Here is a 19,978-nt window from a genome sequence, read left to right on the forward strand (position 1 = left end):
TCGGCCCCGGGCAATAAGGGCTTAGCACCCGGGCCAGCGGCTGCGGAGGATGTACTGGGTCCCCCAGCAGTGCCAGCCCACGGGCGCTGCGCTCGATTTCTCGCCGGGCTTTAGCTGCCTTCCCGCGGGGCAGGGCTCGGGACCTGCAGCCCGCCATGCCTGAGCCTCCCCCACTCTCCGTGAGCTACTGGGCAGCCCAAGCCTCCCCCAAGAGCGCCGCCTCCTGCTCCAGGCGCCCAGTCCCATCAACCACCCAAGGGCTGAGAAGTGCAGGCACAGGGCGCGGGACTGGCAGGCAGCTCCACCTGGGTGAAGCCAGCTGGGCTCCTGAGTGTGGTGGGGACGTGGAGAACCTTTATGTCTAGCTCAGGGATTGTAAACACACCAATTGGCACTCTGTATCTACCTCAAAGTTTGTAAACACACCAATCAGCACCCTGTGTCTAGCTCAGGGTTTGTGAATGCACCAATCCACACTCTGTATCTAGCTATTCTGGTGGGGCCTTGGAGAACCTTTATGTCTAGCTCAGGGATTGTAAACGCACCAATCAGCACCCTGTCAAAACAGACCACTTGGCTCTACCAATCAGCAGGATGTGGGTGGGGCCAGATAAGAGTATAAAAGCAGGCTGCCCTAGCCAGCAATAGCAACGAAGTCGGATTTGTTTCCATGCTGTGACGGTTTTGTTTTTTTGCTTATTGTAATAGCTTTTGCTGTTGTACTCTTTTCTGGTCTACACTGCGTTTATGAGTTGTAACAGTCGTCACAAAGGCCTGCAGCTTTCACTTTCTGCCTCAGCCAGCGAGACTGCAAACCCACCAAAAAAAAAACTTAACTGTCACACCCACCCTAAGGGTCTGCAGCTGGGTTTTTGAAATCAGACCAAGAACCCACCAATTCAGAACCCACCAATTCGGGACACACCATGTGGGCAGCTGAATCAAGACTTTGTGGAGGAGCTCCAAAGTGGGTAGAAAAGTACGTTCACCCTTACAGGGAGACTGGCAGGCAGCCTTTTTCCTTCTCGGTAGAAAAATAAACTCCTGTTCCATAGAGTTTGGATTTGGAATTTATTGTATCCACAACCAGCAGTCAGCAAAATACAAAATGATCCCAAGTGATAAAAACCTTAAGTATAGTAAGTAATTTAAGTAAACATAAATTCTCTCTGGAGAAAACCATGATCTCATGGCTATTAAGATTCCCATTGATTAAGATGAGTGTAATATATGCTCTCCAGAATTATCAAACACATGAGGAAACAAAACATGATTGGAAATAAAAACAACAAGCAATAGATTTAATCACCCACAGTCTTCAAATATTGGCATTACGGGATATGTAACACAAAATAATCATGTATAAAATGTTTAAAGAAAGACATTCAAAAGTGACCAGATTTGAAACACAAAAGAACGTTTAGAATTAAAATACATGAAAGACTGAGTAAATTAAACATAGATTAGCGGCCAGGCACGGTGGCTTACACCTGTGATCCCAGCATTTTGGAAAGCCAAAGTGGGAGGATGGCTTGAGAACAGAAGTTTGAGACCAGTGTGGGCAACACAGCAAGACCTCATCTCTACAAAAAATAAAAATAATTAGCTGTGTGTGACAGTGCTCGCCTGTAGTCCCATCTACTCGGAAGGGTGAGGTGGGAGGATCCCTTGAGCCCAGGAGTTAAAGGCTGCGGTGAGCTATGATTGCACTGTACTCCAGCCTGGGTGACAGAATGAGACCATGTCTCAAAAGTAAATAAATAACAATATAGCCTAATTTATAGGGTTAAAAAGCAGATAAAATTATAATCCTGGGCAAAAATAATATATAGAGGGTATAATCCAAATAAAAACAGTTCTTTTTTCAGGGAGGGGGATAAAGCTAATGATTTAGATTTTTAAGTGATATATGTATATTCAAGTTTCTAGGATAAGTATTAAAATAATAGAAATTGAGGTCAAATTAGTAGAGGGGGAAAATGGAATAAGAAAAAACGCTATCATCCAAAAGAAGATAAGAGTGGAGGAAAAAAGTCAACAGTAAAAGAAGGACAAATTGAGGTGCAAAATACAATGGTGGAAAAAAAATCCTAATATACCTGTAATCATAAAAAAGGTAAATAGAAAAAAATGTCAGTTAAAAGAGTCTAGCTAGATAAAAAGCTTAAATTTAGCTACCTTCAGTTTACAGGAGATATATCTAAGCCATCAACACAAAATGTTAAGGGTAAAAGGACGGAAAAAGATTTACCATGCAAATACTCAAAAGCAGGTAGGATCGTTGTATGAATATCAAGCAAAAATAGACATTAGAGCAAAAATCATGATTAGGAATAAAGAAGGTCTCTGTGTAATGATGAACCCATCAATTCAATATGAAGTTACACCAATTCCAAACTTGGTATGTGTCTAATAAACAGCTTCGAAGTATATAAAGCAAACACTGAATTATGAAAAGAAATGGAAAAATCCACTATCAGAGTGGGAGACGTCAGGACACATCTCTTAGTAAGTGGTAGTCAAACAGATGCCATTAAAATAATAAATATTGGCCAGGCGCGTGGCTTACGCCTGTAATCCCATCACTTTGGGAGGCTAAGGTGGGCGGATCACCTGAGGTTGGGAGTTCGAGACCAGCCTGACCAACATGGAGAAACCCCATCTCTACTGAAAATACAAAATTAGCCTGGCGTGGTGGTGCATGCCTGTAATCCCAGCTACTCAGGAGACTGAGGCAGGAGAATTGTTTGAACCTGGGAGGCAGAGGTTTCAGTGAGCCGAGATCGCGCCATTGCACTCCAGCCTGGGCAACAAGAGCGAAACTCCCTCTAAAAAAATTTTTGAACAAAATTGATCTCATAGGTATAAAAAAATCACTGCACCCAGCAATGTAGACAATACCAGGTGTTAGTGAAACTGTGGGTCAACAGTTGAATTCATACTCTGCTGGTGGGTAGTGTCCATTAGTACATCGTTCAAAAATTCACTGTAAAATTGAGCATTTACACATCTCACTATACTAACCAATTAGCAAATAATTAACTACAGGTCCACACATCAAGATGTGTATATTTCATAATTATAAAGTTGAGTGAAAAATACAGGTTATAGATATCACTCAGTCCAAGTATAAAAACATACCAAATAAAAAATCACCTGCCAAATTCATGTGGAAAAGCATAATTAAATATTCAGGATAGTAATGTGATGGGAGGGGGCACACAGGTGTTTGAAGGTATTTTTAATGATCTGTGTCTTCAGCTAAATGGTGAGAACTCAAGTATTCATTTCACTGTCATGTATAAGTCAATTTCTATACAGTTTACTTTTATACATGTGAAATAGTTTGTGATAAGAAAGAGTAATATAAAATAAATCTGGATGCATATTGTGTTAAAAATCCTCTTGGCCAGGCACAGTGGCTCACACTTGTAATCCTACCACTTTGGGAGGCTGAGGTAGGGGAATTGCTTGAGCCCAGGAGTTGGAAACTAGCCTGGGCACCATAGTGAGACCCTATCTCTACAAAGTATTTTTTTTAAAGTTAGCTGAGCATAGTAGTACATGCCTGTGGTCCCAGCTACTCGAGAGGCTGAGGTGGGAGGATCACTTGAGCCCAGAAGGTTGAGGCTGCTGTGAGCCATGATCACACTACTGCACTCCAGCCTGGGTGATAGAACAAGAACCTGTCTCAAAACAAAACACCACTTGTTCCCCCGCCAACACCAAAACTTCTTGAGGCCTACCACCGAGGCAGGGCATGTTGCTTTGGGGACAATAGCTGAGTCAATGGCACCTTCAGAGTCCACACGGAGGTCTCCTTGGGAGTGTGAGCCCTGAACACTCAAGGGCATGTCCACCCTAGTGGACACATGTCCATGAGCCTGTGCAGGATGTAAACTCAACAGTGACCCCAGAATGGCAGGGTCAAAGCCCCCATGCTAGAGGATAAATCAGACTTTGCTATTATCTCACCTCTCAAGGTTTGAAAGAAAACACTCAGCATTCTTGTGCTATTAAGGGTGGAAGGGCGGCTATTAAGGGCATTTAGGGACCGATGAGATGAACTGGATTTTGTTTTTGTTTTGAGGCAGGGTTTCACTCTCGCCCAGGCTGGAGTGCAGTGGCACGATCATGGCTCACTGCAGCCTCGACCTCCCAGGATTTCCCACTCCTGTGCAGCAGAGGATGCCAGGTGCACTTGATGTCGGGCTGGCTGTCACGAATATGCCCTTGAGCTGCACAGGCTGCAGGTGGCAGCAGGGCCCTGGGACAACCTCACAGACCCGCCCCACTGACGCTGGCTCCTAGAGAGGTGGTTGCTGGCCGATCTATCAGGGGCTTCTCCTTTTTGCCATATTCAGATTGGAGCCATAAATTAAATTCTCAGGAGAAAAAATTAAGCTACTTTTAGAAGTCATGAAACATGGGCTTTGGGGATCAGGATTAAAAACTTTAACAATAACATTGCTTAATTCTCAACTCCTATTCTTGGTAGGATGAACTGAAACCAGTGATTTTACCATTATGTACAATATTTTTTCTTTTGAAGGGCCTGAACAGACGGTTCCAAATCCAGGCTGTATCATTATAATCACAGTTTCCCTGGCTCACACTTCAGCGTTTTGCCTTTCATGCATCTCTCTCTGGCACAGAAGCTATTTGCCCATTTGTCTTCCAGAAAGACGAGAAGTCTTATAGGGATTTCTGAAATGAGAATGCGCCACACTAGGGGTGGGTGAGGTGCCCACATAATCGAAGCCGTGAGACATTGCCACTGCCAGATTTCTCCCCATTACCTGTATCACCACCCAAAGAGGATGGGTCTCAGGCTCCCAGGATCTTTGGCCATTCTTTCTGCTTTGTATTAGGTATCAAATTCCCTTGTGCTTGGAGGAGAAGAAAACCTAAACATTCTTATGATCAGATTGATATTTGTCAGGGTAGGACCATGGCTAAGAGCAAAAGTCAGTGCCCTGGTGAATTCAACATGCAGCATGAACTATTATTATTCTCAGAAGGACAAGGCTAAAACCTCTCACCTAGAATAGCCACATTATATCAGACTTTTCATAAAGTTTAGTTATTTCATTTGGAGAGGGCATAGATTTATTCCATCTTATTTTCCAAGACTGTGTATTGTAAAATTAGACGAAAGTAAACCTTATAAGTTATCCCTTAAAATAGTGTAAAATGATCACCATTTTAAGAGTATGTACTAAAAGTCTTACTTTTCAGCTTTGACTACAGTGATGCATTTGCTAATGGTTTTCTTCTTCCTTGAATTATGACTAAGAGGAATTTTTTCCCCATGAGGTTCTTTCACTGCTCGTGACTTAGGTAAGAAAGTGGTCATCATCTACGTGCATCCTTGAAGAACATGGGTGTGGGTGAACTGAGCAGGCAGGGCTGCACAGTCACTGTGTCTGATTTACATGCCATGGACTTTGAGCCAAGGGCCACAAGGAAAGACATCGCTTGTGAGTTACTGGATTAATTAATGTCTTAGTCTCTTCTTTAAGGATTCCCTTTCTTTCTTCTTAAGAAACTGTCCCACTATGACCACATATTGAACGGCATAACAAGGGCCAGGAATAGGGGTTTAGAGAAAGGAACTAATGGTACTCCTTAACATTTCCAAAATATAAACATACACCCATAGTTCAAGTGCAGACAAATGAATGCCCTCAGTCACTACTCAGGAGGTACCTCCCAAGCTTATGCGCTTGAGATGCATTTTCATCATTACTAGAATATAACAACCTTGGCCAGGTGTGGTGGCACACACTTCTAATCGTAGCACTTTGGGAGGCCAAGGCAGGAGGATTGCTTTAGCCCAGGAGTTCAAAACCCACCTGGGCAACACAGTGAGACCCAGTCTCTAGTTTAAAAAAAAGAAAGAAACAACTTCATTTGTCTCCAAATTTTGCATTGGTCGTATTTGCCTTTCTCAATATTTTCCGAATGTCAAGTATAGATTTCTTAATAGAGTGTCCTAGTCAGTTCTAGCTGCTATAACAAAATACCATAGACTGGTGGCTTATCAACAACAGAAATTAATTTCTTACAGTTCTGGATGGTGAAAGTCCAAGATCAGGGTGCCAACACAGTCCGGTCCTGGTGAGGGCCCTCTTCCAGACTACATGCTGCCAACTGCTCGTTGTATCTCACATGGTGGAAATAGGGTGAGAGATTTCTCTGAACAGCTGGGACTACAGGCATGCACCATCACGCCTGGCAAATATTATTTTTTATTTTTTGTGGAAGTGGGATCTGGTCTCTCTGTGTTGCTCAGGCTGGTCTTAAAACTCCTGGGCTCAAGCGATCCTTCTGCCTTGGCCTCTCAAAGTGCTGGGATTACAGGGGAGAGCCACCATGCCTGGCCACTTAAAATTGTTGAATTTTATCATATGTAAATTATTCCCTGTAGTGGGATGAATTGTATCCCCCTCAAAAGGCATGTGCAAGACTTAACCTTTGGTACCTGAGAATGTGATCGTATTTGGAAACAAGGTCTTTGCAGGCATAAGTAAGTTAAGGATCTCAAGATGAGACAATCCTGAATCTAGGGTGGACCCTAAACCCAGTAGCTGTGTTGTTATAAGAGAAAGCAGAGAGAGATTTGAGACCCAGAGAAGCCTCCGAGGGGAAGGCCATGTGAGGCTGGAGGCAGAGACTATAGTGAGGCTGCTGCAAGCCAAGGGCACCGATGATTACCTACGCCCACTAGGAACCAGGAGAGAGGTATGGAACAGATCTACCCTCACAGTCTCCAAAGGGAACCAGTCTTGTCGACATCTTGACTTCAGACTTCTGGCCAGATCTATGAGACAATGAAATTCCATCATTAAAAAAAAAAAAAACAGAAAAAACAAAAACAAAACCAAAAATACCCTCCAATGATCCATTACAAATATTCTAGAAACCAGGAGAAAGGAGAAAGTCTCAGTAAAGAAATCGAAGATATAAAAAAGAAACAGGCCAGGCACGATAGCTCACGCATCTAATCCTAGCACTTTGGGAGACCAAGGTGGGAGGATCACTTGAGACCAGGAGTTCGAGACCAGCCTAGGTAACATAGTGAGAACCCATCTCTACGAAAAATAAAAAAAAAATTAGGTGGGTGTGGTGGCACGTGCTTGTATTCATAGCTACTTAGGAGGCTGAAGCAGGAGGATTGCTTGAGCCCAGAAGTACAAGGCTGCAGTGAGCTGGGATCACGTCACTGCGCTCCAGCCTGAGTGTCACAGTTATACTGTCTCGAAAATAAAAAAACAAAAAGAAGCAAATGGAAATTTTACAACTGAAAAATACAATAACCAAAATACAATCTCAAACTCCAAACAACATAAACTGACAGAAATACACATCCAGATATATCATAGCAAAACACATGAAAATAAGGATAAAGAAAAACTCTTGAAAGCAGGCAAAGAAAAAATATATATATTACCCATAGGGGAACAACAATTCAAATGGCTGCAGATTTCTCATTAGAAACCATTTATCTCAGCAATACAGAGAACTAGAGATGGAAAATCATCAAGGAGATGACATTCCATCACTGGTATGGTTGGGATGTGTGTCCCCTACGAATCTCATGTTAAAACGTGACCTCCAATGTTGGAGACAGGCCTAGTGGGAGGTGTTTGGGACGTGGGGGCAGATCCCTCATGCATGGCTTGGTGCCGTTCCCTTGGTGATGAGTGAGTTCTCACTCTATTATCTAGTTGAAACAGCTTATCTATTATCCAGTTCACATGACAGCTGATTGTTTAAAAGAGCCTGACACCTCCTCCCTTCTATCTCTCTCTCTCCCTCTCTCACCATGTGATAAGCTGGCTCGTCTTGCCTTATGCCATGATTAGAAGCTTCCTGAGGCCTCCCCAGAAGCCAAGCAGATGCTGGTGTTGTGCCTGTACAGCCTGCAGAACCATGAGCCACATAAACATCTTTTCTTTATAAATTACCCAGCCTCAGGTATTCCTTTATAACAATGCAAAACAGGCTAACACAATCATTAATCAACTAGATCCAATGAACATGTATATTACGCTCCATCCAACAATGACAGAAAACACATTCTTTTCAAGCACACCTGGAACATTCACCAAGATAGATCATACCCTGCAGCTTAACAAATTTGGAAAAATTGGAATCATACAAAATATGTTATTACCATAATAGAATTAAACTATAAATCAATAAAAGGAAGACAATAGAAAAAACACCAAACACTTGGAAATTAAACATACTTATAAGTGACCCATGGGTCAAAGAAGTCTTCAGAGAGATTAGAAGTATTTTTAACTGAGTGAAAATGAAAATACAACATATGAAAATATGTAAGATGCAACTAAAGTAGTCCTTAGAGGGAAATTCACAGCATTAAAATGCTTACATTAGAAAAGGGGGTCTTGAATCAATAATACCAGCCTACACCTTAAGAAATAAAAAAAGAGTGAAACGTACCCAACACGAGCAGAAGGAAGGAAATCATAAACAGGAGTAGAAATCCATACAATTGAAAATAGCAAACAGTAGGGAAAATGAAATGAAAACAAAAGCTGATTCTTTGAAAAGGTCCATGAAACTGATAAATCTCTGTAAAGATTGATCAAGCAAAAACGAAGACACAAATTACCGACATTAGAAATTGAAGGTGGGAGATCACTACAGACCTGCAGACATTCAAAATCTAATAAGCTAACAAAAGAATACTGTGGAGTCCTAATTAGAGAAAGGGAGTCAGGCTGGCAGGTCCAAGGGAAAGCAAAAAGAGAAAGCAGGTAAGTTACAAGTCTGCCTTTCTTCATGGTCCAGAACGCATCGCCCTTCCGCACAAATAACTCACAATCCTGCACCCAGCTAGACACCTGCAAGTTAGCTCCGTGCAGTCTTGGCTTTATCAGTACTGCACAAAGCCCTCTTCGGCATAAACACTACCCTATACAATCTCCACAAGCCTTTGTTTCTTTGTAGTCAGCCTCCACTGACTTGCCCATTGTCTCCCTGGCAAAGTATTTTCCTACTTTATCTAATAAATCTGCCATTCTTTACCTACAACTGTCTTGGTAAATTCTTACACTCCCACACCACTGGCCCAGATAGTCACCACTCACCCATGACATTTCTGGGTCCTTCTGGGATCTCTCCGTACAGGGGAACACTCTCCTCATGGGGAATTCTCTTGCCTCTCTCTTTCTCTTTCCCAACTCGGGAACCTCGGTGGACAGCGTCTAAGCACAGAGACAGTTGCAGGTCTCCGGCTGGGGCTATACTCCCGTGGGACTGAAAGGTGCTTGTGTGGAAACGTCTGACCGCCACTGCCCAGGTCAGGTGAGGGACCTAAGTCCTTTTCTCTTTTCGTCTGTCGGCTGCCGTTTCTTAATAGTTCTTTGGTAATTGAGGGTAACTGGCAAGGGCCACTGTCCAGCATTGCCTGAAGGCCAAAGAGTGAATGGGGTCAGCTGCCCTGCCCGGAAGGGGAAAAGGCTCGCCTCTCTTTTCTGATTGTAGTCCCTACGTGTGCTGCAATTGACATGGAAGCCCATTCAGGGCAAATTCACACACGTTTCGGGTGGCTCAGACCCTCTGTCTCAGTCCAAATTCTAGGGAGTCACCCAGCCGTCCTGTTCCAGATGTTGCCAAATTAGGTAATTTCAGACAGCCTCAGAATAGTGAGTCTTCCCCTCCCCGTTCCCTTTCCTGGGCTGGCACCCGTGGAGATCTTCTTGTACCCTTCCTTCCTCATACAATACCCAAAATACAATCTCAAACTCCAAACATGGTTGATCACCCAGTGTGAGTGAGAACCTGGACTGGCTGTCCACCCGTAGGGCCCCCTGGATGATCTTTACTAATAGGTGGGATGCCCCTTTATACAGTGCACCCCAAGTCCCTCAGCAGACATATGTGGAACTTGGCAAACATCTCGGCATTCATCTTGGCAGGATGCCCCAAGCAGAAGTGTGGTTCGTGACCCTGACTGGCACTGCCCCCGAGGGGTGTGCTTTCCAGTTCCGCCATGGAACAAACCCCGTCTATTCCTTCAGACTCACTGATAGGCTGCATCCTAAAGCAATAAGACAAATTTAACCCTCAGACTCTCAAAAAAAGAAATATCTAATTTTCTTTTGTAACACAGCATGGCCCCTATGAAGGAAATCCTCAGATTAACCTCCTCAGTCTTTATAATCGAAAGCAAATTAAGGAAAACAGGGCTAAGGAAAAGAAAAAAACAAAATGCAGGGACAAGAGGCAGGTCCAATGGTTGGCTGCTTTACAAGCCCCCAGCTTCTCCAGGTTTCCCTAAGGACACTCCTCCAAATAACTGCCATCTGTGCAAAAGCCCAGGCCACTAAAAGGCAACTTACCCAATAAAATAAATGGGGAAAAGCTGTACACAGCTTATCCACTCTGCCACAAGCTTAGCCACTGGAAACAGGATTGCCCTGAAAGCTGAAGGAGCCCCAGAACAAAAATTCAACCCCCAGTGGCCTTAATCTAAAGGGGCTCTCTGCTCCAGCTGAAAACAGCTCAACTTAACTAGTAACTTGTGGAGGTGGGAAACATTTGTTCCACATTCTGTGGGTCTGAAGTGCTAAAGCTTTCTGTGATGGGAGATAAAGTGGAAAAGAGTGCTAGCTCCACACCATGCAGTAGCTGGGAGGCTCACAAGCCCTCCTGTAAAGCTGAACCCTTGCCTCTCCACTCTTTCTTTTCCTTTTCTCTTTATCTGTTCAATCCAAAGATCCAGCCTTAAAAGGGAAAGACAATTTCTAACATCCTAATCTTTGATTTTGTTGTTCTCTTTAACACTCCAGCTGCTTGCATATTATGGCCTGTTTTCATGTACATTTTAAACTTATGGGCAAGTTGCAACAAGAAAAATTCAGAGCTCAAATGGTTAACCTGCCTTATAGAGTTAAATAAAGTTTTCTAAAGCTCTTTATTGTCCTCTTTTTTCTATCTGCCTTGGATCAAGGTGGTTTTATAATCACCTGTAGAACTCTAACAGGTGCTCTTTATTATTATTATTATTATACTTTAAGTTTTAGGGTACATGTGCACAACGTGCAGGTTTGTTATATATGTATACATGTGCCATGTTGGTGTGCTGCACCATTAACTCGTCATTTAGCATTAGGTATATCTCCTAATGCCATCCCTCCCCCCTCCCCCCACCCCACAACAGTCCCCAGAGTGTGATGTTCCCCTTCTTGTGTCCATGTGTTCTCATTGTTCAATTCCAACCTCTAACAGGTGCTCTCGAGTGCAGGTTTCTAATAACTTTGGAAATTGTAACATTAGAATAAAGAAAAAACTTCCCAGACTCTCATTAAAAGCTAATGTGTTCATAAATATCGAGCAGAACAGAAGTTAATTACATAAACTAAACTAATGGAAAACTAAAATAATCTCTTTGTAGCTTTCTGTTTAAAACATTGTTAACTCTTTTGCTTTTCAAAGTCCATAAAAACTTTTCTCTTTTAAGCTATTTACAGCCTTTAACAATTGGCTAAAGTATAATCTTGTAACCAAAATTTAAAGCATATCTTACTCTCTACCTGATTTCTCCAGAATGTAAAAGCTATTTGCAAATATACTTAATTTATGGTACTATAGTTATTTGCATATATTCATTCAAAATCTATTTTCTGGCTGTGTGTCTTGGCCCATTTTCTGGCTGTGTGCCATGGCTCATGCCATCACGGATACTATAGTTATTTGCTTATATTCATTCAAAATCTATTTTCTGGCTGTGTGCCATGGCCAATTTTCTGGCTGTGTGAAAATCTATTTTCTGTTTTCTGGCTGTGTGCCATGGCTCACGCCTGTAATCCCAGCACTCAGGCAGGTGGATTGTTTGAGCTTAGGTGTTTGAGACCAGTCTGGGCAATGTGGCAAAATCCTGTCTCTATAAAAAACACAAAAAATTAACTCGGTATGGTGGCACATGCCTGTAGTCCCAGCTACTTGGGGGGCTGGGGCAGGAAGATTGCTTCAACCTGGGTGGTCGAGGCTGCAGTGAGTTGATATTGTGCCATTGCACTCCAGCCTGGGTGACAAAGGAGACCCTGTCTCAAAAAAAAAAAAAAGGAAAAAAAATCTGTTTTCTTTTGTAACAGGACACAATTGGAGACACTGGTTATTTTACCAAGCTTTAACTGGAATGGCATGCTTTTTTGGGGGGGCGGAATCAAAGTTAACTTATAAAGCCAATAAAAGTTCCTTGGGAAAGCTGGCCTCATACCTTATCTACACAGTCCCTGTGCAGGGTTCCTAACCTGTGATAACTAAAGAATGTCACTTTCTAACAGGCCCAGGAGCCCCAAGTTATCTTGGGACCTCAAGAGGAAAAGAATTTACCCAACTCTTACAGGTATTTAATGGCACAAACCCATAACTGGCCTTAAGGCATTAAATTCAAATCTGAGATTCTCTATGGAATAAAGTTTCAGCAAAACCAAATTTAAAAAGTAGAAGAGTCTATATGCAAAATAATTATTCTTGCTAACTTTATGCAAATACTCAAGCCAAGTTTAATAAGGCTAAAACTTATTTTACCAATAGATTTGTTCTATTATAATTTGTTCTTAGTAAACTGGAAAGAAAAATTATGTTTCAGAAAAGCTGTAGTACATCTGTCATCAAATTCTAGTCTTGTTCACTGCTTTAAAGTTTTTTATTATTTTCCACAATTTTAACTAAATCCTGAATTCTTTCTGGGCTATAAGTTCCCAATGCATTCAACATTTTTTTCCTTTTATTTTTCTAATTTAAACTCAATGGAGTTCGCCCGGGCGCGGTGGCTCACGCCTGTAATCCCAGCACTTTGGGAGGCCGAGGCGGGTGGATCACGAGGTCAGGAGATCGAGACCACGGTGAAACCCCGTCTCTACTAAAAATACAAAAAAAATTAGCCGGGCGCAGTGGCGGGCGCTTGTAGTCACAGCTACTCAGGAGGCTGAGGCAGAAGAATGGCGTGAACCCGGGAGGCAGAGCTTGCAGTGAGCCGAGATCGCACCACTGCACTCCAGCCTGGGTGACAGAGCAAGACTCCGTCTCAAAAAAAAAAAAAAAGAAAAGAAAAAAATAAACTCAATGGAGTTGCTATTACCTCTTTCCTAAGGTCCTGCAAACTAAAGTCCATTCTTTAAAATACAAGCAAAGAAAGAAAAGGGTCAGATTGCCACTGCCTTCCTCCTCTATAACTAAAAATGCTTTAACATCTGGATAAATTGTGCCCAATGTTAATCTTTGTTTTTTTTTTTTTCTGTTTCCATAAAAATGCCTCATTAAAAATTTGTTTGTCTTCATCATATGCAGAGGCTTGTAAGGCACACCTCTACATCACAAACTCCAAGGGGTCTGGCCTTGTCCTAGGGGCTTTAATTCGAGCCCATTGCAATTACACCCTCAATTATAACCAAACACACCAGGAATGGGAGACAAGTTCACTGTTTACCTCCACAGGTTTTTTCTGTGGTGGGGAAACAATAAAGTTAATGCCAGCAAAATGTGTAGTAATTCTTTCATGCCTATAAATAGTTCAGCAACTGGAATGGAATATGTAGAAATAAAGGTCAAAAGTAAACTAACTCCTCACTAGTACATCTACAAACTTTTCCTTGATTTTCTCTTATTGAATTAACATTTAGAAATCTTATCTCTCAGGCCCCACTTCTGTCACCTATAATAATGCTTATATTAGCTTATTCGCATTACGTATTATTAATGCAATATCTTGTTTTGTGTCTTCTAACACAACAATTTCAAATTTTGTGAACACAACCATTTCAAACTAAAATGTCACTGCAGTGAAGGTATCAGCCACTAAAAGAACTCCATGACTCTCCTTTGGATACAGCAGGACAAAATTTTAGGCTACAAATGCTGCCCCCAACCCCATGGTTACACAATGACTCTGCCCAATTAACTCCCAAGCCAAGGATTTAGGCCTTTGTAATTTCCTGACAGAGTAACAGGATTAGGTAGGGCCGGTTCGGTGCCCCTGGTCAGCAGGAAGCAGTTGGAAGATGAGATCTTTGTCCACATACCAAAGATTTGTTATTGTTGCTCTGTTAGTGGGGAAATGTGGAGCCCTAACTAGGGAAAGGGAGTCAAGCTTGCAGGACCAAGGGAAAGCAAAAAGAGAAAGCAGATAAGCTACAAGTCTGCCTTTCTCATGGTCTGGGATACATAGCCCTCCTGTGCAAATAATTCAGTCTTCCTGCACCTAGCTATCACAGAACACCTGCAAGTTAACTCACTGCAATCTTGGTATTATCAGTACTACACAAAGCCCTCTTCAGCATAAGCACTGCCCTACAAAATCTCCACAAGTCTTTGTTTCTTTGCAGTCAGCTTCTGCTGACTTGTCCATTGTCTCTCTGGCAATGTATTTTCCTACTTTCTCTAATAAATCTGCCTTTCTTTATCAACAACTCTCTTGGTAAATTATTATTATTTTTTTGTGAGATGGAGTTTTGCTGTTGTTGCCCAGGCTGGAGTGCAATGGTGCAATCTCGGCTCACTGCAACCTCTGCCTCCTGCGTTCAAGTGATTCTCCTGCCTCAGCCTCCCGAGTAGCTGAGATTATAGGCGTGCGTCACCACGCCTGGCTAATTTTGTATTTTTAGTAGAGATGGGGTTTCTTCATGTTGGTCAGGCTGGTCTTGAACTCCCGACCTCAGGTTATCTGCCCGCCTCGGCCTCCCAAAGTGCCGGGATTACAGGCGTGAACCACTGCGCCTGGCCTGTCTTGGTAAATTCTTATACACCCCACACCACTGTCCTAGATAGTTGTTGCTCCCCGCAACAAATACCGTGAGTATCTCTATGCACATACACTTTAGACGAGATGAACCAATTCCTAGAAAACTACAAACTGCTAAAACACGCCCAAGATGAAATAGACATAATAAAATAATCCTATGACTATTGAAGAAATCAAATGTATAGTTAAAAGCCTTCTAAAAAGAAATCTCCAGGCCCATATGATTTTACTGATGAATTCTACCAACTATTTAAATGAGAAGAAAACATCAATCCTATACAATCTCTTCCAGAAAATAGAAAAGGGACACTTTCCAACTCATTTTATGAGGCTTTTATTACTATTATAACAAAAACAAATACAAAAAAGAAAATTATAGACCACTGTACCTATATCATTATGTGTTTTTGAATACAAAGAAATCCTCAACAAAACATTTGCAAATCAGCAATGTATAAACAGAATAGTACAGCATGGCATAATGGTATTTATTATATGAGCAATGTATGAAAAGAATAGTATAGGCCAGACACAGTGGCTCATGCTGGTAATCTCGGCACCTTGGGAGGCTGAGGAGGGTGGATCACTTAAGGCCAGGAGTTCAAAACTAGCCTGGCCAACATGGCGAAACCCCGTCTCTATTAAAAATACAAAAATTAGCCAGACGTGGTGGCGCATGCCTGTAATTCCAGCTACTCAGAAGGCTGAGGCAGGAGAATCGCTTGAGCCCGGGAGGCAGAGGTTGCAGTGGGCTGAGATCGCACCACCCCACTCCAGCCTGGGCAACAAGAGTAACAAGAGTGAGGCTCTTTCAAAAAAAAAAAGAGTAGTACAGCATGACATAATGTTTATTATACTAGCAATGTATACAAAGAATAGCACAGCAAGACATAATAATGTTTATTCCGGGAATGCAAGTAAGGTTCAATATTTGGATATCAACCAATGTAATCCACCATAGACTAGAAAAAAACCCACATGATCCTATTAATTAATGCAGAAAAAGCACTTGACCAAACTTAATGTTGTCCATTCATGGGGGAAAAGGAACCTCTTAGCAAGCTTGGAATAGAAAAAAAAGTCTTTTTTTTTTTTTTTTTTTTTGAGACAGAGTCTTGCTCTGTAGAGAAGGGGTTTCACCATTTTGGCCGGCTGGTCTTGAACTCCTGACCTCAGGTGATCCACCCGCCTCAACCTCCCAAAGTGCTGGGATTACAGGTGAGAACCACCATGTTGGGCCGAAAAAAAATGTTTTTAATTTGACAATAGACAACTAAATATCTACAGCTATCATTATGCTATTCTCATAAAATTAAGAATAGGCCAGGATGTCCATTCTCACCTAGTCAGTGCAATGAAAAGGAAAATTTACAAAAAGGCACACAAATTGGAAAGTAGGCAATAAAACTATCCCTATTTGCAGATTATATGGTTGTATATGTAGAAAATTTCAAGGAATATACAAAAGAAAAAACAAAACAAGGCTAGGCACGGTGGCTCACACCTGTAATCCCAGCATTTTGGGAGGCCTAGGTGGGTGGATCACCTGAGGTCAGGAGTTCGAGACCAGCCTGGCCAACATGGTGAAACCCCATCTCTACCAAAAATACAAAAATTAGCCCGGCGTGGTGGAGGGCGCCAGTAACCCCAGCTACTCAGGAGGCTGAGGCAAGAGAATAGCTTGAACCCAGAAGGCGGAGGTTGCAGTGAGCCAAGACTGCACCACTGCACTCCAGCCTGCGCAACAAGAGCAAAACTCAGTCTCAAAAAAAAAAAAAAAAAAAGAAAAGAAAAGAAAAGAAAAAAACCTTCTAGAACTAATAAGATGATATAGCAAGATACAAGGTCAATGTGTAAAGGTAAATTGTCTTTTTATATACCAGTAATGTAAAATTGGAACCCAAAATTAAAACAATAAAATTCACAGTAGATCCTCAAATAAAATAATCTCACAAAACATGTACATGCTCTCTATGCTGAAAACTAAAAATAGCTGATAAAAGACACCAAAGAAGGTCTAAATAAATGGAGAAAGACACCATGTTCATGAATTAGAAAAATCAATATTAAAAAGATGACAATCTTCCCAAATTTATATATACACTTAATACATTTGCAGTCAAAATCCCAGGGAATTTTTGGGAGACATAGACAGGTTGATTCAAAAAATTTATACAGAAAAGCAAAGAAGCTAGAATAGTTAGAACAATTTTGAAAAAGAAGAATAGATTGGATTTACCCTGCACAATTTTCAAATTTACTCTAAAGGTACTTTAATTAACAAACACAGTATGATATTGGCAAAGGAATAGATGCAAGATAAACAGTAGAGAGAGTAGAGTGAGAGGAATAGATCCACATACATATGGCCAATGGATTTTTAATCCTTTTTAAAATTAATACTCTATTATTATTATTACTATTATTATTATTCATGACAGGATCTCTGTTGCCCAGGCTGGACTGAAGTGGCACAATCATGGCTCACTGCAGGCTTGACTTCCTGGGCTCCAGTGATCCTCCCACCTTGGCCTCCCACAGCTGGTAGCACAGGTGTGCACCACCATGCCCGGCTAATTTTTTTATTTTTGGTAGAGATGGGGTTTTGCTATGTTGCCCAAGCTGGATTTGAATTCCTGAGCTCAAGCTATCCACCCACCTCAGCCTCCCAAAATGCTGGGATTACAGGCATGAGCCACTGTGAGTCTGTGCCTTACAAGAATTAATTTTTTTATAATAGTTTAGATTTCTAGAAAAATTAAGCAGAGCAGGGCAGCACAGGGTCACCATGGTGGAGCTGCAGCAGCTGCGGGTGCAGGAGGTGGTGGACTCCATGGTGAAGAGTCTGGAAAGGGAGAACATCTGGAAGACACAGGGTCTCATGTTCTGGTGCAGCGCCAGCTGTTGTGAGGACAGCCAGGCATTCACCCAGCAGGTGCACCAGTGCATCGAGTGCTGCCCTGTGCCTCTGGCTCAAGTCCAGGCCTTGGTCACCAGTGAGTTGGAGAAGTTCCAGGACCACCTGGCTCGGTGCACCATGCATTGCAATGACAAAGCCAAAGATTCAATAGATGCTGGGAGTAAGGAGCTTCAGGTGAAGCAGCAGCTGGACGGTTGTGTGACCAAGTGTGTGGATGACCACATCCACCTCATCTCAACTATGACCAAGAAGATGAAGGAGGCTGTCTTATCCATTGGGAAATAAAAGTCTTTGCCAGTGGCCAATGAGGGCAAGAATGTATTTTTTATAAGGAATTGGGAATTTTACTCTTTTAAGCAAAGTTTATGAATGAACAAATAAAGGATGGCCACAAGTGTAAGGCATACATCACTTACCTCTGGACACTGGTTCTTTTATGTTTCAGTCCTGAAAAGGGAAGTGGAAAAAAGTGTGCTAAATTGGGTCAGAGATATTACGGGAGAGTTTTAGAGCTTATTCTTCCTGTGGCCAGTGCTTGTCCTGGAAGTAAGGATCTCCTCTGTAACAAGCCAGAGCCCTCCAACATACCAGACTCTTCTTACTACACAGGTACCAACAGGCTGGCAGGCTAGAGTTGATGGAGTTTGAGGAGAGATATTTTCTCTTTGTTGCCAACATCCTGTTTGCCACAAGTGTCACTGCACCGTTTTCCATAAGCTGTGAAACAAAATCCATGAGGTCACTAACTCAGAAGGGAAAAAAGTTTTCTGGGTCTTTTTTTTTTTTTTTTTGGTTTTGTGTAATTTACACAAGGGCATACAAGTTGATTTTAAGATGTGCAATTGGGACGGAGATAGTTTGGATAAGAGCTTCAAAAAGTTCCTTGTGGATCCCCATTTTTGATCATCAACATTTGGATGTGTATTTCTGAAAATTATCACATGTTGCATCTTTCAGCCTGGAGACCATGCAAACACATGAGAAGCGATGACACACTCATTATGGGAAGCAGAGCTTCCCTCTTACTGGCTGATGGGCCCTGAGGCTGTGTGTAGCAAAATGACAGGGCAATCTTGCAGTAACATTTTCGCCTTGAAGAGAAGGGGGTTTTGATTGGGATATGTACTGATATCAATGAATGAACAGTAAAAGAGGAGCAGTTGGCTGCTTGATTATAAGAGAGTTATGAAGTACTGGGTTTGGAAAAACTTGCTTTTTATAGAATGGAATGGAATGAAAGCCTAAACCTAGCATTACTTAGCCCCCTGAATTAACAGAGCCCAATTGAGACAAACCCCTGTTGCTACTATAAACGGAATTATTTCATAATTTATGTGACTTGTTCATTTCACATGTGTAGAAACACAGCAGATTTTTGTGTGTTGATTTTGTATCCTACAATTTTTCTGAATTCATTTATTAGCCCTAGTAGTGTTCTTGTGGGTTCTTGGGGATTTCCTATATTAAGATCGTTTCATTTGGGAATAAGGATAGGCTTACTTCTTCCTTTGAAATTTGGATGCCTTTTATTTCTTCTTGTTTAACTGCTGTAGATAGAACTTTCAGTACAATGTTGAATAGTAGTGGGTAAAGTAGACATCTTTGTCTTGTGTCTGATCTTAGGGAGAAAGATTTGAGTCATTCACCATGGAGTATGGTTTTAGAGTGGGTTCTTCTTAAATGCAGTTTATCACAGGTTCCCTTCTATTTATCACAATTCCCTTCTATTCCTAATTTTCTATGTGTTTTTATCATGAAAGGGTGCTGGATTTTGTCAAATGCCTTTTCTACATCTATTGAGATGATCATGTATTTGGGGTTTTTTTTTGTTTTCCTAATGTCATATCTTCCAATAATTGATTTTCTTATCTTGAACCACTCTCGCATTCCTGGGCAAAATGTCACTTGCTCATGGTGTGTAATCCTTTTAATATATGTTGAATTTGGTTAAATCTGCCAGACAATAACACTTTGTACTCAATACTAAGAAGTACTAATGGACCGGGCACAGTGGCTCACACCTGTAATCCCAGCACTCTGGGAGGCTGAGGAGGGCGGATCACAAGGTCAGGAGATCAAGATCATCCTGGTCAACATGGTGAAACCCTGTCTCTACTAAAAATACAAAAATTAGCTGGGCGTGGTGGTGGGCGCCTGTAATCCCAGCTACTCGGGAGGCTGCAGCAGGAGAATCGCTTGAACCAGGGAGTTGGAGGTTGCAGTGATCACGCCACTGCACTCCAGCCTGGCAACACAGCAAGACTCTGTCTCAGAAA

The 19,978-nt window shown here is 41.9% G+C and overlaps 1 pseudogene; it reads left to right on the top strand.

The window, feature by feature from the left end:
* Positions 17,550-18,187, top strand: FAM136BP (family with sequence similarity 136 member B, pseudogene; annotated as a pseudogene).
* Positions 18,188-19,978: the final 1,791 nt, after the last annotated feature.

This window comes from Homo sapiens, chromosome 6, assembly GCF_000001405.40.
Source record: "Homo sapiens chromosome 6, GRCh38.p14 Primary Assembly".
In the NCBI taxonomy this organism is placed as follows: Eukaryota; Metazoa; Chordata; class Mammalia; order Primates; family Hominidae; genus Homo; species Homo sapiens.